The sequence below is a fragment of the Homo sapiens genome, chromosome 3, assembly GCF_000001405.40.
Source record: "Homo sapiens chromosome 3, GRCh38.p14 Primary Assembly".
Taxonomy (NCBI): domain Eukaryota; kingdom Metazoa; phylum Chordata; class Mammalia; order Primates; family Hominidae; genus Homo; species Homo sapiens.
In genome coordinates this window covers 30,290,832-30,314,884 of record NC_000003.12, presented here as the reverse complement: position 1 = coordinate 30,314,884, position 24,053 = coordinate 30,290,832, and the positions used below count along the sequence as shown (strand labels likewise).

The 24,053-nt window shown below is 38.0% G+C and overlaps 1 long non-coding RNA gene and 1 other non-coding gene across 3 annotated transcripts; one reads left to right on the top strand and one right to left on the bottom strand.

Moving 5' to 3' along the window:
* Positions 1 to 9,309: 9,309 nt before the first annotated feature.
* LOC124909358 (uncharacterized) lies at positions 9,310 to 22,318 on the bottom strand. 2 transcript variants are annotated; one of them, XR_007095854.1, is made up of 2 exons: positions 22,210 to 22,318; positions 9,310 to 10,567 (listed from the first exon to the last, which is right to left on the bottom strand). It is a non-coding gene; the product is annotated as an uncharacterized LOC124909358 (long non-coding RNA). The 2 variants fall into 2 exon arrangements; XR_007095855.1 differs by lacking the exon at positions 9,310 to 10,567 and adding an exon at positions 16,171 to 16,592.
* On the top strand, positions 10,349 to 10,564 carry LOC124906377 (small nucleolar RNA U3). The gene has a single exon (XR_007096341.1). It is a non-coding gene; the product is annotated as a small nucleolar RNA U3 (small nucleolar RNA).
* Positions 22,319 to 24,053: the final 1,735 nt, after the last annotated feature.

Sequence of the window (24,053 nt, the reverse complement as noted above, 5' to 3'; positions counted from 1 at the left end):
TCTGCTTCTCCCAGTTCTCCACTAATCACAGCCTCAATGCCTTTATTGGACTTGAGATTACCAGAAATAATACAAATGTGCCTTTTATGCTAGTTTCCTTCAGGCAGCACAAATTGTCCGGGCCTCCCACGTTTCTGTGATGCCCAGGCCCAAATGTAAATGAGCTCTATGAACAGAGAGGCACCTCAGCTACCAACCCCCACCATCTTCTACCTGCTGTCATATTTTAGTTTTTCCATAGCACTTATCACCAACTATTCTATGTATTTTGCTAAGTTTTATTTACTAAATTAAGTGTTTAATGTATTTATTTTCTGTCCCTGCTGGAATAAAAGCTCAATGAAGTTTGGTATTTTTATTTTTATTTTTGCTATATTCCTAGTGTCTAAGACAGTGTATGGTTCATAGAGGCACTTGATAAATATTTCTTGAACTAGTAAATGTCAGCTTACTCCTGTGTATATTTAGAATTTGGGTGAAAACATGCCTATGAAGTACACTATTGTATTAATGTGAATGAATTATATAACTATGAAAACTGGTAAAAAGAATCAGACAAATTGGGCTCCAATCTCAGTAATAAAATGTGAGTGAAAATGATATGTGTCCCTTCTGGATGGAAAATGCTATAGGCAGCAGGAGATGCTACAATACTCCTTTCTCAATGCCTGCTGGGCAAAAGCATGAGTCAAGATGGATCCTTTGTCAACTTGGTTCTGAGAGTGACTACAGTAAGCAGACACCCGCTGACCCACAGCAAACATGTAACATGAACAAGAAATAAACTTACGTTGTATTAGCCATTGAGATGTGAGACTTGTTTGTTACTGAAGTATTACCTAGCCTATCCTGACTGACTCATACACTGTGTGGATTAGGAAGTTGCTATGATGATAATGTAACTATAGTGTAGAAATAATGAGGCTTAGCACACAAAATTGTAATAAAATTAAATAATGTCTATAATAAAGCACTTAGCATGACCCTTTGATTCAAAGTATGTCTTCAATAAAATATAAAAAGATAGGCCAGGCACAGTGGCTCACACTTGTAATCCCAATACTTTTGGATGCCAAGGTTGGTGGAGCACCCGAGGTCAGGAGTTTGAGACCAGCCTGGCCAACATGGTGAAACCCCATCTCTACAAAAAATACAAAAAAATTAGCTGGGTGTAGTGGCACTTGCCTATAATCCCAGCTACTCCGGAGGCTGAGACAGAAAAATTGCTTGAACCTGGAAGGCGGAGGTTGCAGTGGGCCAAGATCACATCACTGCACTCCAGCCTGGGCGAGAGAGCAAGACTCTGCCTAGGGAAAAAAAAAAAAAAAACTATATGTAAGAGAGATCAAATATCTGTAATGTAACTGTCGCCAAGCTTTTCAGCCCTCTGAGATCACCCCTTCATTCAATATCCAAGTAAAAGGGTTCCAGTCTTTTTATACTACAGTGAATGCAGAATGCAATGTCTTCCCTAATAATCCTTCAGGAAAATAGGAATGGGAGAGATTGGAGGACATTTGTCATTGTTTTAACCAAAATGTTACTTTTGCGCTTGCCTTGGTTCTCTCTGCTCACCTTCTCTTTGATTCTACTAGCCATTCCATCTCAATGGGATCCATTTTAGTCCATCACATGGATAATGCCTACCCCCTTCATTGGCACAATAATTCAAATCAGTGCCCTCAAGTGGTTAAAGGACCTACTACTCAGAGGGATAAGATGCATCTTGTTGTGTCTACTGCAAATCCTGCAATAGTATTAAGCATATGTCAAGCATTCAATAACTACTTGTTGTTTACTCACTTTTGTGATTTATTTCTTTTTAAGTCAGGTCTCAGAATTTTTTTTTCAAAACATTAGGTAGTAGATATATTCAGTTTTTGGTCCATACAGTCTCTGTCACAACCACTCAGTTGCTATTGTAGTGTGACAACAGTCATAAACATTATGAAAACAAATGACCATGGCTATTCTGTTCTATTCATGACGAAGTTCTAATAAAATTTTATTTAAAATGTAGGTAACCAATGAATTTGACCCTCAAACTATAGGACCCCTAACTTATTTCAATTACCTTCATCTCAGCAGAAAATATATATACTTAAGACATTTCCAGGTATATTTTCTTCAACTTTCCTTCATTTTTGTTTATTCAACAACCTTATTGACTATCTACCGTCTTAGGCTCTGTGTAACATTGTCCCTCACTAAGACAAGTATAACCCTGCTGGGATCTCTTTGTCCAGAGGTAAAATAGAGATGGAAGCACAGACAAAAATACAATTTGGTGTGAGAAGCTCTATAATAAAATCTTTTTCAAATTGTGAACAAATGAGTACTATCCAAGAGAGTTTATTTTACCCTTCAAACCTCCTAGAAAAAACTGCCACACACTAGACTGCTAATCTCAAAAGTATATTCTGTCTGGTGGGGATTAGAGGAAGTCATCATTTCCATCTTAAGTTAAAAGCGAGGTGTTAATTTTTTTTTCTTAACATCTGGTTGTTTCTTACCTTAGAAAAATAGGAAGTAAAAATAATCAATAAGCATTTTCAAAAAGAATTTCTTCCAATGCTTAAATGCTATGTTAAATGGCAAAACCTAGGGAATGGAAGTATCGATCAAAAATTATAATTCTGCCTTATGAGATTTAAGCAGGCCAATGTCAACCCCCAAGCAATCTGTGAAGCTATCATAGTATTACCTTATTTGAGATTGTAACCTGAACAATTTATAAACACAAAATAATTTTTGCGGTGGTACCTTCTTTTTTCACATTTATGAAGTCATTAGCAAGCACTTTGCAAGGGCAAAGACTTGCATACCATTCTTCATTCATAGGACGCTCTGATAAACCTTGGAGTAGGCTGAGAAAGGAGCAAGAGCTGGACTCCCGCCAGCTCCTGGCGCCACTTCTTGATGGCTGTACCAGATGCCTGAATCAACCTCAGCAGATGGGCAAGGCACTCTTCTTTTAAATTTAAAATTACAAGCAGAAGCATAAGACAGTTCTTTGTCTTCTTTAAAGGAAAGGGAATTAAGAGGAAAGGCATTTGGAGAGTAAAGAAGTAGAGGCCATTGACCTGACTTGTATTGAAACATCTCAGGCAAATCCCCATTAAGAAGTTGTTTTCTACTCAGAAATAGTGATGGCCCCACAGTCTCAGACCTATGCCCTCTTTTCCTGACTTCAGCTGATCAAAACAGAGAAGCGCTCCAAAGAGACAGCTTCACCTCACTGAGCGGAGGACATCCAAACTTCCTTGGGGGACTGTTTCCTCTAGACAACCTGTAGTGGCCATGACAGCACCTTAAAAAATGCCAGGGCTTAAAAAGGCAGAAAGTTAGCTTTCAGGTTTGTGTTACGAAAGGAAGAAGATAGGTTAGTAAAAATTATTCCTGGTAGACATGTATTCAGTAAGCTCACATGCTTTTCATAAGCCAATAAGCATAAAAAGTGAGATGTAATGGCATCCATTGGCTGAATTAGAAACAAGGGCATGGCAAAAGAATTTTCCAAATATGTCATGTTTTTAGATTTACCTTTCATTTTTTATTAATACATAATAGATATACATATTTTTGGGTCACATGTGATATTTTGATACATTCATATAGTGTGTAATAAAGCAAATCAGGGTAATTAGGATACCCACCATCTTAAACACTTGTCTGTTTTTTCTTTTGGGAACATCTGAATTATTCTCTACTAGCTATTTTGAAATAAGCAATAGACTATTATTTACTATAGTCACTATACGATTTATGGAGCACTAGGTCATATTTCTTCTATTTACCTATATTTTTGTACTCATTAATCAACCTCTTGAATGGGTCTAGTCTCCTTCCAATAAGGTTACTCTGTCTACAAAATAGATTCTTCAGAGAATCAGGTGTTCTAAGTCCTGTATTACTTTAACTGGCCTTAGGAAGATAAAATCTTTTGGCCCCGATGAAGGTTCTGTAGCTGAAATACTGCATGGATTGGCAAAAAGCTCACAGTGTACACCTCCTGGAAGTGATATTTCATCATACACTTGGCTGTAGCAGTAATTGTGCTTGCAAGTAAAGAATTTCCGTAAACTTACTGTAGCAGATGAACAGCAAGGAAGTATATAAGGATATTTGATGACACAGACCATAGACTTCAGGATGAAGTCACAGAAGATTGGCTTACTCTTGGCCTTGGATTTCTTTGTCCAATCAGCACTACTCTCATCTTGTCTACAGGCTTGCCCTCAAACACCATACAGAAGGCCTTTTCACTGAGTGTCCCCATGTGTTGCCTCCAGACCCCATTTCCAGTTCTTGCTTGTCCTGTGCTGTTAAGCCTGATTTTTGGAAAATTATTGCTCTTTGTCTGTGTGTTTAGATATGACTTTTTGGTATCTCTCATGCTTTTCCTATCAGCAAGATTGTGAAATTTAGTTTTCCCTTTTCACTTGCTTAGCCAGACTATGATCCTGGAGGGAAAAAGAACCCAACTAAACACAGAGATTCCTGCTGGCTTCAGAAAAGAGGTGGGGGTCTATTTTTTACTCTCACAATTATAGATAATCTTTCCTCCCTGAAAGAGGACTGGGTATGCTGGCTTGAGGTTATTAAATTAGGATCAAGTTGAAGGTGGAGTCTTGAGGCCCAGGAGGAGAGGGTACACTCTTACTTGGTAGTTCAATGCTGGCATGGCTGAGAGTGCATTTCAAGTCAGAGACTTGAGAAAGATGAAAGAGAGCAAAGCCACTGAGAGATCAGACAGTAATATCCACAGCAGGGAATACACCAGAGGAGTCTTCACACCTTTACTGGCAGGGAAGACACAGGGCTTTGGTGCACAGGATTACTTTGGGTTAAGAGTTCAAAAGCACAAGTCTGTATTCACAGAGACACAGAGTGAGACTAAACCCAGACTGCTAAGAATTGGAGCGCTTTTCCATTCTCAGACACAAAACTAATTTGTCATTTATTTGCTTTTCTCCCAGCCATATGATAACCAATTATTACCCATTTCACAAGACTGGATAGTAACTGTAACATAAAGTTAGGGAGAACCAAAAAAGGAACTAATAGCATTCACATGGTCTGAGCCAACTTGACAACCCTTAATATCTTTCTCTCCACTCTGTTCCAAAATAATTTTGAAAAGTTTTTCACTATACTTCTCTAAGTCTCAGCTTTATAATCAGTAACATCGAGATCACAACGCCTATCTCACAGTCGTTTAAGGTTGAAAGATAATGAACATAAAGCACCCAGCCCTAGTGATGGATGGCAAGGTACATTGTGCTCAGTAATGCCAGCTTTGGGAAATATCTCTAGACTCTGTTTCTTGCCCTTATGGCTTGATCTGACAGATCCATCCTAGTGTCTCAATCTAGTGAATGGCAAACTCTGAAATTACAAGGCTGCTAGCAGAATCTCCTATAGGTACAATAGTGTGTGTGTCCTACTAAATTTTTTAAACCTACTTGGGATTTCTTCATTTTTAATATGCTTAAAAAACTCATAAAAGGAAAGAGGCTTGGCTTCTCTTGATCTTTGGCCTTAGGACAGGTTTGCAAGTTTCATAACAGATCCATTCTCCCACATCGAACATTTAAGATCTCACAGGCCACATGACATATCAGCATGGTGGTGTCAACAGCATCTCATTTTAGTTCACAGTAGGAAGAAAAGAGGTTAGATCTGAGCAAGTTCCCAGAGAGTTAGGCTTTTGGTTTCCTCTGATTGCTAAAGTTGGGAAAATCAAAGTTCAGCCAAAGCAAAGCCAATGGAAATTATGGTATCTATATCTGGTTGGGTAGTGTCACCCTAAATTTAATGTCCACCTTGTACCTTAGAACATGACTCTTAATTGGAAATAGGGTCTTTGCACATGTAATTAAGTTAAGATGGGGTCATTTTGGTTTAGGTTAGGCCCTAATTTAGTGATAAGGAAACAGACACAGAGAAGGAATGTCATGTGACAACAGAAGCAGAGATTTGAGTGATGCGTCTACAAGCCAAGGAACACCAAGGGTTGCTGGCAACCATCAGAAGCTAGGAAGAGGGAGGGAAGTTTTCTCCCCTAGAACCTTCAGGGGGAACATGTCTTTGTCAACACAGAAAATCTTGACTCCAGAACTGTGAGAGAATAAATATCTGCTAAGTCATCCACTTTTGGTAATTTCTCATACAGAAAAGTAATAGCAAGGAAACTAATACACTATTTTTAGGGGCAAACAGTTGGGAACTAGAAACTCAAAGCAGAGTTAATGAAAATATCAAGCAAATTTCAGTGGCCACTTATGATTCAAGAGGTTAGGTTAAATTTCTAGCAACATCTAGAAATAGAATGCTGAGTTGAGCCTGATTCTGAGTGAAAAGTACAGGACATCTATGCAGAAGTAGGTGAATCTGAACATTTCAGCATGAAAAAGAGAATGGGCTGTAGGAAGGGTCAAGTCCTCAGTAACTTAGAGGTGGGTCCCGATACTTTGAGACTTAGAAGAAGGCCTCTTAGAATCAGGAGTTTATTACCCTAAAGATGACTAAAACATTCCATCTGCAATGTGAAGCTGACTGATTACAAAGAAATAGTAATGATGATTGTGTAACTCTGATTATTATGAAACAAATTGATTTACTGTTCTCATAAATGTTTTGCCTTGTTATTACTTTTCTGGATAAGAAACAGCCCTTTAAAATAAAAATAGAGCTTCCCTCAGCTGGTGAAGGATATAATGTGACTGAATTATTAAAAGGCAAGTGTCACCAGCGTGAGCATAGGACCAAGGGCAGTCATGTTGCACTAACACAGCTGGTGCACTAGCTCTGATTCTAATGATATATTCAGCATTCAAAATATCCAACTCTCTGTTCAGATATTTGTAACACTTCCTGGTTGCTTTGAGGCTTTTAATAGGCCTGAATAAATCTGTAAGTATTGAAAATTTGTCATCAAATGGACTACACTGTAGATAACAAAAACTCAAGTTGTATAGAGCTATATCTATTCACTTTATTTTGGCTGAAGAAAAATATTGCAGTAATTTCTTCTTAGCATCACCAGTTTAAATGAGTTTGCCTCTTCATTTAATTAATCAGGGAATCCCTCTTTAATTATGTGATAAAATCCATTGCTAAGATGATCCTTCTGTCCACTCAGCAAAATGCTGTGAGAGTTGTTTCATCCTTTCTTCTTAATTCTTCAGGTGCAGTTTGCATTTTTAATTGCTTAAGACAGTAATTCAAGGTTGAGATTATAGACAGAAGACTTAGACCCTTCAACTTTGTTCTTACACCAATAAACACCAAATTAACTCTGCAGATAAGCAACATGTATAATGCAGTATGTCTCAAATGTCATTCACTCATGTGCCACCTTCACAATTTCACAATTGTCATAGTTGAGTAATATCTGTATAACTTTTTCTTATTTGTAAGTTCTTTAAATCAACTTTTGTTGCCTAAAAGCATTTAACTAAGAGAAAAACTATATATTACCACCATAAAAGGAAACCCAGTATCCTGGGCCAATAGTATATTGCAACTATAAAAATTAGTGCATAATTATTAAATAAAAGTAGTAATCAGTGAAAAATATAAAATCACTTCACCTCTCTCCCATATAGGAGTGGCATCATTTTGGAAATAATGCCTGCTATGGTTTGGATATAGTTCCTTTGGTCCTGTCAAGTTTCGTGTTGAAATGTGACCCTTATGTTGGAGGCAGGGCCTATTGGAAGGTGTTTGAATTGTGAGGTTGGATCCCCCATGAATAGCTCGGTGCCATTTTTGTAGGAGTGAGTGAATTCCTATTCTTAGTTCCCAAGAGAACTGGTTGTTGAAAATAGCCTGGAACTCTCTGGCTGTCTCTGCCTTCCTCCCTCTCTCGCCATGTGACACACCAGCTCCCTTTCACTTTCTGCCATGAGTGGAAGCAACTTGAGGCCATCAGAAGCAGATGTTGGCATCATGCTTCTTGTACAGCCTGCAGAACTGTGAGCCAAATAAACCTCTTTTCTTTATAAATTTCTAAGCCTCAGGTATTACTTTACAGCCATACAAACAAACACAGTGCCCAATTTTAAGACTCCCTGGACTGAAAGTAACAAGACATCTTACTAGTTACCTGAATAATGAACAAATGACTCCCCACTTTCGCCATCTGTAGGACACAATTTTATCTATAAAATAGAGATTGAATTAGAATCAGTAACACACATTCATCCCTCCGCTCTCACCTCATGTCCATAACAGACATGGCTAATTCATCAGAGCAATCTTTCCTGGGTGAGAATGACGGACACTTCTCCACGGTTCTCTCCCTACTCCCTCTCACCTTTGTCTTTTCATTAACATTCTTACCTGGTTAAGATTTTTCCTAACTTGGGAGAGAAAAATATTTTTATTCAATCCCCTCTTGTCTTTCAGCTATTGCCCTATGTCTCTTTTCCCATCCAAAACAAACTTGAATGAATTTTCTTGTCTGCCTTTGCTGTCTCCACTTGCTTACCTCACTCTTCACACTAATCCAATCCAGTGTCATCACTCACCACTGCATCTAAGCAGAACTGACTTAGGTCACCAAAGATCTCCTTGTCTTAAAAGTCAATGAATATCTCTTAGTCCTTATCTTACTTGACCTCTCAGCTCCATTTGAAATATTAACCTACCTGCCTTCTTGAAATACTCTTTTCCCTCTGATTCCAGGATACTATGCTTTTCCTCATAGTTCTCTGGCAGCAAGTACGGAATATTTTTTTCTTGACCTTAGAGCTAGATTCATTTTCTACATTTCTCCAAGTTGATCATCTTCTAGGAGGCTAATCTATCTGTATGGACAGCATCAATGGGCTTCCTTGTCACCTGACTTCCCATTGATTTGGCCACTGTAAGGCAATTGCTCCGCCTTCCAGAGGGAAGCCTGGGAGGGGTTGAGCTCCTTTACCAAGGCCACGGCTCCTATCCAGCAGTCCTCTCCTGAAGCTACAGTCACAGCCTCAGCTCTATCTACATTTTGGTATTCTAAATTTTGGTATTCTCTCCCTTCCCTTGCCCCTTTCAAAGCTAGGGGGCATATTTCCACCCCTTTGCTATCACACTATCCATTTTTGGTTTCCCTAAACTCTCTTTCATTAATCTCCCTAATTACCCCATTTGCCTGTGCCATTTTTTTTTCTCCTAGAACTGAGATTATCTATTCCCTCTAGATTCCTGAACACTTTTTTATGAAGTGTCACATAAATGTGACACAAATGCATACTTTTATCTTCTTAGAACTGTAAAATGATGAATGCTTCATTTCAAAACTTGAAATGTATTGTTAAATTTACTTTGTGGTGCTGTTTTAATCAATGGATTCAAGTGTGTGTTTCCAATAGATACAAAGGCAAATCAATAGTCTTGGCAAATTTAGTGTGGATTTCTTATTTTTAGGATGGTATACAGGAGTAGGCTAAAAATAATCTCCCTAAAATATTGGTTTCTAATTTCTGAAACCTGTAAATGTTATGTTATATGGAAAATGGGCATATGACAGATGTACCTTTCAGCAATAACTTAAGCATATATTCTGAGAATGACTCTGTATGGCAAACACACCTGACAGCAATAACTTAACTTGATACCCTTAGATTGACCCTGTGGTCTAAAAAGAATGTGTGTGTGGAGTCCAAAGCTAAGGAATCCGGAAGTGGCCAACCCGGAGATTCATTCCTTATCTACGAGGAACATCTCAATCCCCATCCCATCCCATGGAACATGAGCCATACAGGGGATCAAAACCCTTTGTTTTGGGTTAAATGAAGGTTGTGAGGTGTAGGCTGATATGAGAAAGGTGCTAAGTGAAAATGCCACATAAACTGCATTTTCTTTTTTTTTTTCTTTTTTTGGGGATGGAGTCTCACTCTGTCACCAGGCTGGAGTGCAGTGGCACGATCTTGGCTCACTGCAACCTCCGCCTCCCAGGTTCAAGTGATTCTCCTGCCTCAGCCTCCCAAGTAGCTGGGACTACAGGCATGTGCCACCACGCTCAGCTAATTTTTTGTATTTGTAGTAGAGACGGGGTTTCACAGTATTAGCCAGGATGGTCTCAATCTCCTGACCTCAGGATCTGCCCGCCTCAGCCTCCCAAAGTGCTGGGATTACAGGCGTGAACCACCACACCCGGCCTAAACTGCATGTTTTTTACAAGTGGTAGCTGTTCTTTTATCCAGCCCATTGACACTGGGTTCCTTCAATAAACCCTGTATTTCATTCACCGGCTCTAGGTCTCTTCTTCAGCCTGTCAAACAGGGTGTCACTCCTATCGATGTCAGCAAGGGTCTGGCATGACAAAGGCTCTTTTCAGATGTGATTAAGAATCTTGAAGACTATACTTTGAGGGATCATTTCTATAGTTTGTTACTGGAGAAGTTTCTCTGAATATGTAGAGCACCACAAATCACGAGGAAAAAGCGCAGCATTCTCTCCTGAGCATGAAGCCAGTTTTCAGTGTTGCTTCGATGTAACTGCCTTCTGCCCTTGATGATCATTCTTCTCTCCTCCCTGGAGAGTAAGAGGGAGAGGAGGCAGTCTGAGTGGTTTTCTGAAAAACAAAAAAACAAACAAAAAGGAATCTTGAGATGAGGAGATTATCCTGATGAGTCCTTAATACAATCAACAGTGTCCTTGTAAGATGGCGGAAGAGGGAGATTTTGACTACAGACAGAAAAGGAGTTGGTGATGTAAACTCAGAGGCAGAAATTAGAGTGATGTGGCCACAATCCAAGGAATACTGGCAGCCGTCAGAAGCTGGGAGACGTGAGAAATGAATTCTCCTCTAGAACCTCAGGGAGAATGTGGCCCTATGAACACCTTGTGCTCAACCCAGTAATGCTGATTTTGGACTTATGGCCTCCAGAACTGTGAGGAAATAAATTTCTGTTAAGTCATCAAGTTTGTTTGTTCTGGCAACCATAATAAACTAATACACAGGCCATATCTGTAATTCTGACATATTTAAGGCCTTGGGCTCAATGCTCTTCATTAATACAAGGCACATATGAATGTATGCAAATGTCTCATTTCACTGTAAAACATCAGTCTCCATCTTAGCTGTGGGCAAAATGTGCTCATGCAATGGAAGAAAATGCACATGGATTTCTGCATAAGAAAAGATATTTTACTTTTCAAAAAAAATCAGATTACAAATATAAGTTCATTTCTAAAACATAATACAATATAGAATGTCATATACACAATATACAATAAAGACAAAAATAAAACCCATCACTTAGAGATAATCCCCATTTTTTAAGAATTTGGCATATTTCCTTTCAAACATATTTCTCTGGCTACACACACACCCACATACACACACGCATGCATACCCACCATGCTGTATCATGCAAATTGGATCATGCTATCTGAATCTAAGATGTTTTGTAGTTTGCCTTTTCTACTACTATTTCATGGCATTCCTTTCTAGTTAGTAAATATGTATATATCATCCTTTTTAATGACTTCATAATATTCAATCACATTGCTAACTCCTAATTTATTTAATGACCATTTTCTTGGCATTCAATTTCCAAATTTTATATTCATAGTCATCCTATGTATGTATATCTCTGAACTCGTCTGAGTATTTTTCTGATATAAATTGCTAGAAGAAAAACTGCTAAGCCAAATAGGAGCACATTTATAATACTGACACATACTGCCAGATTGATATTCCAAATTTTGTACTACTTTACACTACAAAAAAAAGTATAGTCTTAAGATTTAAGTTTCATTGGTTGCAAAGAACAGAAAGCATGCTAAATAAAGGAGAAAAGAGAAGTATTAAAAGGATACAGGGCCAGGCACAGTGACTCGCACATGTAATACCAGCACTTTGGGTGGCCAAGGCAGGAGGATTGCTTGACCCCAGGCAGGAGTTTGAGATGAGCTGAGGCAACATAGTGAGACCCTGTCTCTACAAAAAAAATATATATTTTTTTAATTAGCCAGATGTGGTGGTGCACGCCTGTAGTCCCAGCTACTTGGGGGATTGTGGTAGGAGGATCCCTTGAGCCTGGAAGTTCAAGGCTGCAGTGAGCTGTGATTCTACCACTGCACTCAAGCCTGGACAACAGAAGTAGACCCTGTTTCAAAAAAAATAAAAAATAAATAAATAATTTTAAAAGGATATTGAAGTAGTTCATAGATACAAAAAAAGGGCTAAATGCCAAGTCAGGGGCTAGGTTCCTCATACTCTTTCCCGAGGCCTTCCTGAAGGTGATGCTGATCCATCCTCCTCTTAGCTCTTTGTGAATTAAATTCCCAAAAGACAGAATAGGATTGGAAGAGCTTGGCACAAGTGCCCTCTCCCTAGACCACTCATTGCTTCCTGGGCTGTATTTTGATTGGCCATTTCTTACCATAGCATATGGCAAAGAGAAAATTGCATGTCTCCATAACTTGCACATGAAAGAGAAGCCATTACAGGGATGCAGATTACTTTATGTTCAACCTTGAATTAATAACAACAACGGCTGTAGAGAGTTTTTGAAAAGTACGTCTCAAGGTGGGATACCTGAGGAGATACAGAATGACATCAAGGCTCCCGGAAACATCAGCAAACATCAGCAATAATGTGGAACCTGAAGTCCAACGAAAGTGAACATTTCCCTGAGTCATACCTGTCAGGGATTTCCCAAGCTACATTCTGCATTCGGTGTAGTCTGATGTTTGTGGTCATGCTTATGTTATATACTGAGCAAACCATGGGGACTAGAGCCAAAGCCCTTCTTACAGACTGTTGCCATAAGAAATCAGATTTCTTTCTAGATGGGCTTCCTACTAGACTTTGTAGGGGATACAAATTTGGCACAAACATTATTCTGAACCTCATCTCCATTATAAATATTTAACCCTCTTTTGTATTTCATCACTTGGATGAAAAAGGCACATCAAATTTTACTAACCTCCCTCCCCTACTTAACCTATCATTCTATGTCAGCAAATGCCAGTGCCATCTACTAAGTAGCATAAGCCCAAGATGTGACCTTTTCTTCACTTCCATGTCCTGTCGGTCTCTATCTAGATTCTAGTTAACAGTAATTGCTAACACATTCACAACACTTACCATATGCTAGCTACTGCTCTATGCTTGTTATAAACCAGTTTATTGTTCACTGCATCTTTAGGAAGTACTACTATTATCTCAATTTTGCAGACAAGAAAGCTGAGGCACAGAGAGGTTACACAGCATCCCCAGCCACAAAGCTAGTCAGTGGTATAGCTGGTATGCGGCCTGGGAAACTCTGGCTGCAGAATCCATGCTTTTAACTATTGGCATTTATGTCCTAAATATTTAGTGAATCTCTCCTCTTTTCTCCGTCTTTTCTTTGTTCCTGTCCTTATCAAACCTCACTTAAGTTGTAACTTTATCGTGGTGGTCATTATATGAATCTCCACATGTGACAAAATTTCATAAACCTATATGTATGTAAAAGCTGGTAAAATCTAAATAAAGTCTGTATTCTAGTTAATAGCATTGTGCCAATGTGAGGTTCCTGGTTTTTATAATACATTATAGTTCTGTAAGTTGTTATAGTTCTGTAAGTTGTTACCATTAAAGGAAGTGGTTACCATTTAAGAGTATATAGGGTCTCATTCTTTTATTTTGCTATTTCTTATGAATCTATAATTATTTCAAAATAAAACATTAAAAAATTAACCTTGGCTATTACAACAGCTTCCATGGGAACCTTCCTGCTATTATCTCTGTGTCCTGCCCACCAACTCCTTTCCTCATCGTAGCCAGAGGGATTTTGTTTTCTCCCTATTGTCTACTTGCAGTTCTTCCACATCCCCTATTGTCCTGAAGGATAAAGTCCACATTTCTTAACATATTCAAAGGTCTGGCCCCACTCCAGATTCCCAATCCCACCCCTTGCCACTCTCTACCTTCCATATTGTATTCCCACATGGCATTTTCAGGAGAAATACTTATTCCTCCCTGAATGTGTCACAGATTCACTGCTCTGGGACTTTGCTCCAGCTTTTCTCATGCCTGAGGAGTCTTCCCAGCACCTCCTTCTGCCAATGTTAATCCATCTTTTGGAATGGGTAGGAGCTCAGCATTGCCTTCTCTGGGACTTTTCCTGTCTCCTCTTCTTCCCCATCTGAGTTGAGTTAGACCTCTCTAAGGTCCCAAAGCATCAGATGGATGTTTCTATATTGTCATTTCCTAAACTGCCTCATATCCATTCATTTAATCATCTGTTTCCTGACATTTCCCCTGAAGACCAAAATAAATCTATCTTGTATATAAAATTTCCGCAACACAGTGGGGTCTAAATAAGTTAATGAAAAAAATAAATGGACTTTGAAAATGACCATTTTCTATCTTGTCAAAGGACTACATTATACACCACTTACTCAAACTTCCTTTTCTTCATCACAAAACAATTAATGCATTTCTACATTGACCTCCCCAAAGCCACACTTTAATTTTGTCTTTTTAAACATTTTAAGTGATGTTTGAGAGAATTTATAAATGTACAAAAATAATTTCAAATGCTATAAATTTATGGGAAAGGAAAAGTATGTAGCATTGCTTTGAACATTTCTACAAGGAAATAAATTTTCTTCATATCCATTCTGTCATTCCAGGCTGGATGACTTTGTACCTTTCCCTCCCTTATGAATGCTGCCTTTTATGCTGAACACAGCAGACTGCTCTGAGTTCTTTCAATTTCAATGTAAACGTAAGGTTTTAAATATTTGGAATTTTCAGTTTATTTTTCTATGTTTAGAATTTATGGAACTATAAGGTTGCTTCATCCTTCGCTATGTTCTCATTCTAATTGTTCAGGTATCATATTCCACAGAATCTCTCCAGGAAAAGAAAACTTACCAATTTGAGGTTTGCTTGCTTTTGACACATAAGGGAAGACTTTTTGTTGGTTGGATATGACTAGAAACCACTTGCAGTCATTTATTGATGGTTTGAAATCCTTGTGTATACACAAAGAGTAATAACTAAGGCTGAATAAACCTAGCCAGACACATTTTATTCTAAAAGTTTCTCAAACCAGTTTGAGAATGTGGCCTGTTTCACAATGTTTTCTGCACAGTTAGATCACCACCTTCCATCATTTTGAAGTCCAGGTGCAGTCCGGGAAAATTCAGGACAGATGTTCTGGATGCCTTTACACTGACATAATTGACAGGTGGGTTGAGAATAGTCTCTTCAAAACTAGGATCACTCACGGGGGAACTCTGAGATGATTTCGAGGCATTTGCTTAACACAGGAAGTAATGATTTCTCTAAAGTGGAAGGAGAACAACTTGAGGCAAAGAGTATTGGGTTGAAACTTAGAACTTACACATTGTCATGAGTTGTCAATTTGAAATCGGCAAATGTCTTCTGGTGTTATCAAGATGTTTGAGAAAAAAGCCTATGCTCCTGCACTGGTGTGCCCTTCAAAATAAAATTCTAATGCTAAGTCTTCTGAAAAGGCTACAGGCAGAATTAATCATGTATTCCTAGTAACTCCTGTAGTGTTGATAATAAGAACAAGCTCTACTAGAGGCAAGTGCTCTTCCAAGTACTTTACATGTATTGGCTCATTTAATCATCAAAGCAACCTATGAGGTAGGTACAGTATTATTATCATCCCCATTTTTCAGATAAGGAAACTGAGGCCTAGAAAGGGTAATTTGCCTGAAGTCATACAATTAGTGACTGCAGGACTAAACCTTACATTCCCTTCATTATGCCAAATTGTGCTCCAAACTATTCCCAGTTTCTTTCCTCAAAAGGGGACCATTCCATATAATCAGGCATTTATTTTCCAGCTTTGAAAATCATATCCTGTATTTTTTTATTTTTAACAGTCTTAATTGAAAATTTCTGGAAATCTTGGAAATTATAGTGATCTTGCCAACAGTCCTTGCATCCAAGTTATACCAGATGCTGCCATTATTGAGCTACCAAAAGATAAGGTTGTTTGAGAATTAAAGAACAATTACCGTCATTTCTTTTGGAAAGGTGAAGAGGCAAAATTTCCTCTTAAGAGTAAGGAGGGCTACTTTATACTCTGTATTACCACTGCACTGAGAAGGTTCCCGTGGATTTACCTGCAAAGAGAACAAGAACTTGTTCTTTCCTTAACTTTTAAAAAGAGGTCCAGACATCAAAATCAAGCTACATGATTATCTTGGTGTCCCACCTTATCTGATTTTATTTTATGGTTTCCTCATTCATGTCTCCCTCTTAGAGAACCATGGGGAAAATAAATGTCTGGGGAGAAATTTTTCCTCTGAAATAAAAATATGAAAGTAAAATATATTCCTCAATAAACCTGTTGTCAGAGGGAATGGGGTAGGAAGGCCACATTCCAACATATTTTTCCAGAAATCTAGATAAATTGTGAGAATAATTGAGTTGTCTCATGAGGGAAGCCATAAAATGCCATGATGTTGAGATAAAGAAAGGACTGAGAACCATTGCAAGGGCACACTCATTTCCCTGCACGTCACTACATGAGGCCATGTTTACAGATGCAGATAGACGGCTTCTGTTCCCAGGATGGAGTTCTGATGGCAGAGCTGTGGGTTCTGGATGCCTGATGGGTTTCCTAGAGACAACCAAGAAGATTAAAAAGTCCAGTAACTAGAAAAAATAATTAATTATAAATATGACTTTAATCAAGTTGAGATTGGCAGTGTGTAGCTTGCAAATTGGGTGGCTTTCCTTTGATAATATTATTTTGATAATGATAAGCCAGGATATTTGATAGTGACTGGAATTGTATTTGAAGCAAAATTTGCTTGAATTCCTTTGCATTTTATATTTTATTTTATTTTGTTGTTGGTGACTTGTAAGAGTAGTACTGGATTTTGAAATTATTTATACCTTAACCAGGATTTACCAAACAGAGATGAACACGTTTTAAAAATGGCTGAGCCTTGATATGGGGTATCTGATTGTCTCGTATTGGGTGCTTTCCCTGTAAGCCTCACTAATCACATCATATTCCCCCAAATTATACCACACAACCACAACCTTAAGTGAACACAAGGAATCATCATTTAAATTTTTACCTGACATTATTTTTTTTTACATTTAATTTTGAAACAATTTCAGACTCACAACAAAATTGCAATGCTAGTGCAAAGAATTACTGATTACTCTATACTTAGGTTCCTCCAAATATTATACTTTATAATATTACCTCATTTATTATTCTTCCCCCACCCATTAAATTATAGGCATTCTCTACTGACATCACATATCACTTTTATGTCAGCTTCTTAAGCTGCTTCTAAAAATCTTATTTGCCATTTAATTTTCATGGTTTAAAATGTTATTCCAAGAATAAGATAATTTCTCAAATTATAAAGAACTGAATATAATGCAATCATCATTTGCTAATACAGCAAATGTAGATTTTTTTTTAAAAAAGTAGAATAAATCAAAGAATTTCAGGAGCAGGTCTAATGAGGAACAGAGGTAGGGAAAAATAAACTGAATTTCTGTTTCTTTGCATTTGGCTTCAGAGACATCTTATTTCAAAGTACAACCGTGAGCATATTTGTGGTATGCAAATATATATACTCAGCTCAGGAAAGTGAGAGGCAGTAGGAGGTAGGCAATTAAAGAGGCAGAATATAAATTTGACAAGTGTAGGTGAAATCAATAGTGATATAGAAAACTAAATAGAGTTTTGATTAATGTAATTATTTTTTGAAATCCACTTACAAAATAACTGCCTGTGAAGCTAGAGCTGAAATATAAAGTACTAGCCCCACACTACCTCCTCTGTATTTTGTGTGCTCTGATAGTTTCACATAAGCTGTGTGTGTGTGTGTGTGTGTGTGTGTGTGTGTGCCTATGAAATAAACTTCTTCTTTGTGTGGAAAAATTAGGATGTCATAAAACGTATTTTCAAATAAGAGCAGTTGTAATATTTGCTGAAGTGTAAAAAGTGAAGTGGACATTTCTAGTATATAGCTATATCCCTTCCTAGTTCATTATATTTTGCATTTTTATGACAGGTTGATATGCAGGTTGCTTCATAAATATGGACAATTTGCTATATATTTTGCTATTGCCAAAGACCAGCAAAGGGCTTCCATTTATTTAATTGTCATTATTATTTCTTGATAGAATTAAGTACTCAAGAAAATATTTCCATTAAACTAGTTTGATATATTGATATATTGTAACCAATCATTTGAATTGTGTGGGTGATCTGTGTGGTTTACTCATATCAGTATAAGCATCCTTTTATTTTAAAATGCTCCTATTAAAACTATCATTAAAAAACAATATAGCAGCAACTGCCATTTATTAAGCATCTACCATGTACCAAAAAGTGTGCTAGGCATGATACATACCTGATTTTATTTAATCCTCACCACGAATTACTAACAAAGACACTATCATTTCAATATTGCAGTTGAAGTTACTGAGGCTTATAGAGAGCCCAGAGAGGTCACTGAATTAGAGGGTGACAAATTCAGAATTTAAATGAAGTTCTGTCTTAGGTCAGAGCCCATGTCTTTAATAATTTTGTAAAATTGCCTCTCAGCCTAATTAAAAGAGCATAAATGTATTAAAAAGTATCAAACCCCAACAGGAATCATTCTTATTAAACTTTATCAATGTATTTCATATCTTGCTAAAACTGGAAGCAGAGCCATAACTTATGTTTCCATGGTTTGTGTCGTGTACAAGTACCTATTCAAGGTGGGAGTGAAAGTTGACCCATGGCCTTTGCTACGCTCCTGCCTGGGTCCTTCCTTCTCCACACACAATGGGTGCCTTTTTCTAACACCAAGCCATCAACTGGAATGAACATGAGCACTCACACAGTTCATCCAAATTCCTACTCTTATTTTTAGACCTGTATTAGAATATCTCTTGCAACTCAATTTGATGTTTTAAACTGACAAACTATTTTTATAGGTCTCAGATTAGATTGTTGTCAGAAACTTTTAAAAATGAACCCCAATGATAACATTAGTCTGTCTTCAGCTACTCAGAAGTATTGTTGGAATTTACTGTTGCTCAATCCATGCTTTAATTTTTATTCTCACCTCAAAGGGAAGCCCAAACATGTAGGCTGCAATCCCAGGGATGAATTTCCATGGTCATACACACCACTACAACTAATTTTTCCTAGTCTAGAGACAATTTTTTTTTAAATCTGCATTTCAAGGAAGCCTCTGCAATCTATTTACTGGTCTCTTGTGTTATATGAGATGCATTGAATGCATTTGAATTTCTATTCAAATGCAATTTGAAAGTGCAATTTGAAAATACAATATGGAATGCATATTGAACTCCTTCAGTATCTGTGAATAATGACTACTCACAACTAACTTTTTAGATTAGGTTTAAAACAAAAACAAAAAATACTTACGACTTACACTAAAATATCTTATATCCCTATACATTTCAATAAGATTTAAGCAAATTTGAAAACCAATTTTTAAAGTGTTATCTCCACAGCCACAAAAATGAGTGACTTATTTTCTTCAGTTGTGGAGCACTTAAGCCCATGATAAAGAAATTAAAATTTATGCTTGGAGAAGAACAGCAAGAGAAGCTAGAGGAAGAGTTGGTGAGCATATACTGTTGCAGCCCTGAGCTAGTAAGAAAATACAGTAAAAACATAGAATTTTTTTTTTGTTTTCTCCTACAGCCTCTTCCTCCCTCTCCCATTTTATTGTATCATTTATTCATTTGCTCTATATTCATTGAGCATCTATTGTATTTTAATCAGTGGGGATAAAACAATGAACAAACCTCATGAAGTATACAGACTACTGGGGTGGAAACAAACAATGAACAAATAATTAGAAAAGTACATAATTAATTATTTCAATCTTTACTAATAAAGAAAGTATGAGATGTGTGATAGGTTACAAATTGTAGATTCATATCAGTCCTCAACTCATCGGAGGCCTCCTTCCCTTTTATCTATCCATAAGTCTTTGGATTATTGCCAGTTAAGTTTCAGGAATTGTGTGAAAATATTATTTGTGAGTATAGAAAATTGCATATGAAAATTATAAAGCTGAAATACATTTGTAGTCATCAGAATATGCTCTTCATTTAAGTAAACTGTGTAAAATAAGGGCAGAGCAGGGCGCTGGCTAAAATTAGTAAGTATAAGTTGGGATCAAGGTTGTGCCTAGAGCATCAATACTAAAGGCAAGGAGCTCAGTGCTCAGAGCCGTGTAGAAAGACCCAGCAGGCAGCAGAGACTGATAATTGCCCAGGTGAAGTAGTTTCACGGATGGTTTCCCCACTGTGGCTTCATTCTGAAGTGCGCCTTACTCCTCTTATCCCCACTAGGCTAGGAAAGCTGCAGGATGTGTGGGCTCACGCATAGCCAACTCTATCCTTCAAGCATTTGCTTTTTTTTTCAGTTCCTGTTTCCTTGACTTTATTCTCTGGGGAACTAGAGTTGGAAAGAAGGAAAAAGAGGATTGAAAGAATCCAAGTGTTCCTCCTCTTTATTCTCAGTTCCTACTAACCTTGGGACAAAACTATTTATTACTAAGGGAACAACTATTCCCTTAGTAATAGTTTGAATTTCCCTTAGAAATTCAAACCTAAAACACATAGTCTTATGAAAATATGCCTCACGTGGTCTGGGAGGTCAGGATGAAATCCTATTAGGCAGAAACTTTAGAGCAAGGGAGAGTAAGCCAGGTGAAGGAGAGGAGAGCATTCCAGGCAGTGGGAATTTATTTATAAACAGCTGTCTTAAGCAGTGAGAAGCGTGTTGTATTTATTAGAGAAACTGAAGGAAAATGTGTCTGGAGCACAATGTGGGTGAAGGGAGAATGACGCAAGATGACGACTTTGGAGTCAGGCAGAGGTTGGAATCTGCAGGTCCTGGAGGGCAACTTTACGCAGTTGTACTATATTCTACAGTGATGAGAAGCTCTTCAGAGTTTTTATTGAAAGTGTTCAGAAGACAAAGGACTCAAGCCAACCGAAGCAAAGTAGGAGATTCATACATCCCATTTTTATGCAAAAGAAATGTTGGCATCCAAATTAATGTTCCAGCACCTACAGCAGTTGAACTTCCTACACACACAGTGCAGATCAACCCTGGTATCCCAGATCTCCTGTCTCTTCAGTATTCATCAAGAATTCACGGCATTCCTGGAAGAGGGTTTTCAACCCACTGACAAAATGACAAGAAGCAGTAACTCATGTTTCAAAGCTATGAATAATTGGGTGAGATACCCAGTAATTTCATCCAAAATAATGAAGGTGCTTATTTTTTGTAGAACAAAATATAACATTTAATTAGAATTTCAAAATCAGAGTCTATTTAGAGAAAGCTCTTCAATGGTTATTCCAAATCCAATTTGTAAAACATAAATTGTCATCTAGATTTAAGTGCTTTTCCATCAAAATATATAATGAACTTGGCTGAGGTTATTTCAGGACATCAGCATGAATATAATTAATATGTGGAAATGTATTAAAATGACCATGAGAAGAGTAAAGTTAAATAATGAAAACTCATAACACAAGGTGGGTTGTCAGGGCTTAGCTTAACATTCATAATATTCCTCAATTTTAGGGCAACAATGTTATTGAACATGAAAACTATTTCACATGACTCTGCAAGTTTAGGTTAAAGAAATTGATAAAAATCACCCATTTGCTCATTTTCTGTAAAAGTGAATATTAACACTCTGAATACCTATTCTCAGACATCCTTATGTGCCCAGGACATAGAACACCAGCAGAAGCAATGCTAAATTTGGGTATGTACTCCCAATGTGACTAGTCTGTAAATCTTTTCAACGATGCAACTTAGCAAGTGCTTTTTAAGCAAGTATTGTTAACACAGTCCTAAGCCCAGCCCTTTGTGCTGTGGGAAGAGAAAAGATGCAGAAAATATTGTCCATGCTTTCCAGGAGCTTACTATCTATTTGAACATACTGCTTGGGGAAAGTGGCCACAGTGTAGGGAAAAAAAACAGTTTTGAAATTGTATCCCATCTAGACCGTGATAAGAAAAATTTTAAATTAAAGACCAAAACTATATCAACAATACTAGAACCTTGCATTTAACTAGTACTTTATCATTATTTTAGTTAGCAATTAGTTATTGAGCATTGACAGGAATTTAAATGTCTTGCCTCATATCTCACTACAGTGACTCAAGTTCAATGTCACACTCAGGAAGCAGCAGCATAGAGTTAAAATATTTCTACCCACCTCCAAAGTCTTTCTCTACCAGAGAGTGGCCACTTATTATATTGTCTGGTCTCAACCGTTCATTCCCTTCTTTTGAGGTAGCTGCTTCCCTCTCCAACATCGTGGTTGTGAAAGGGGTTTCCATTTCTAAAACTAGAGACCCCTGGTCACAAGTTTAGGTACGTGACCCAGCCTGAATCAGTCATTGTAACCATTCCCATTATTGTTCAGAAGTAGATATGCAACCAAACCACAACAATAATAGTCATTTCCTAAGTAATTTCTCTGAGGAGAAGGCAGGAAAGAGTTGTATTTACCTAGCATGATGCAACATCAACGCTGCCTATGGTAATGGATTTAGACAGATGGGAAAATGTGGTGGAGAGAATGAAGCTAACATGCAGTGAGAAACAAAAAGATGGAGATGAGAGGAAAGGAAAGGTGAAAGGAGGGGTGGAAGAGTGGAAGAAAGAGTGTTAGCAAACCAACAGTTTATATATCCATTGGAACTAGTTGCTTATGGGACTAATTCTTTCTACTCCTTCTCATGATTTGCTTATGGGATTAATACATTCCTATTTTTGCTTAAACTAATTTAACTTGCACTTCCTGCTTCATATACTGTTGGGAATCAGTATGTAAAATGGACAGCCACTAGAGCCTCCAGACTGGGTTTGAATCCTGACCTAGGTATTAGCTGATTAACCTTGGAGAAGTACATCACTTCTTGGAACCTCATTTTTTCTCATCTGTAAAATGGTGTTAAAGTGTTTCTCTCCAGCATTATTGAAAGAATTACACAATGTAATGCACACAATATAGTTGATAAAGTGCCTAACAGTGAAAACAAAAAGAATTCAAGTGATCTCTTTCTTTCTTTACCACCCTAGTGTCTTTTCTTTTTTCTGTGTCCCTCAATGCTTTCCACCACCCTTTCAGCTGGTGTTTTTGAGAAACATTTGTTCAGCTAGAGCTTGCAGAGTGATGTTTGAAGTGTCTGTTCTAAGGAAGAGGTGATCTGAGCAGTAGCATGGACTTGTTTCTCCGCTGCTGGTTGTGGCTGTGTTTACAAGGCTACCTATTTTGACATCTGGCAGGTGTCACTGATTTTTTATTTTTTTCCATTTAAAAAGGTCATTTAGTCAAAGACAGTGCTAGAAGTTAGTTTAAAGGGTGTGATGTGTTGGTCACATCGCAGCCAGTAAGAAACGCTTTGTAGGTTATCCACATCTTTTGCTGTCCGTTTCCATATGCAATTCTGGTCACCATATTTTCCAAAGCTAAAATCTGAGATGTGGGCTGATGGTTTTTGAAACCAGGATTACTTCAGGGAGAACCAGGTCCTATGACTAATTTACCTGATTTTGAGGCTTCGAAGGCTTGTTTGAGACCCGTTCCAGAGAACTTGGTACCAGAACGTGGATTCACAGTCCAGCTTACTATTGATACAGGCCTGAGCACCCTTTAGGGTGAGGCGCCTCCTCCTGCCTGCTGTCCTGTCCCTAATTAGTCAGAAGACTTGAATTTGGCAGGAGACGGGAGCCCTGTGTCCACGAGGCAAGAGGGTCTATACTTGGTTTCAATTGACCCCCTATCAAGATTTCAGACTTGCAGTGTGGCCACCTGGCCCTGCCCTGCTTCTCCCTTTCTCGCACAGCTTCAAAACTTTACCACTTTTATTTTAAAATAAACAGGTTGGGAGAGAAATAGCGTCACCTAAGGGGGGTCATGGGAGGGAGGGAGGAAGTCATGGGGGTGGGGCGCTGGAAAGGCTTTTTCCCAGGACTCAGGGTCCTGTTCTCCCTGGCCTCTTCCTAGAGGGCCCGTTGACAGGCCACTGGGAGTGCTTATTTGGAAAGCGGATG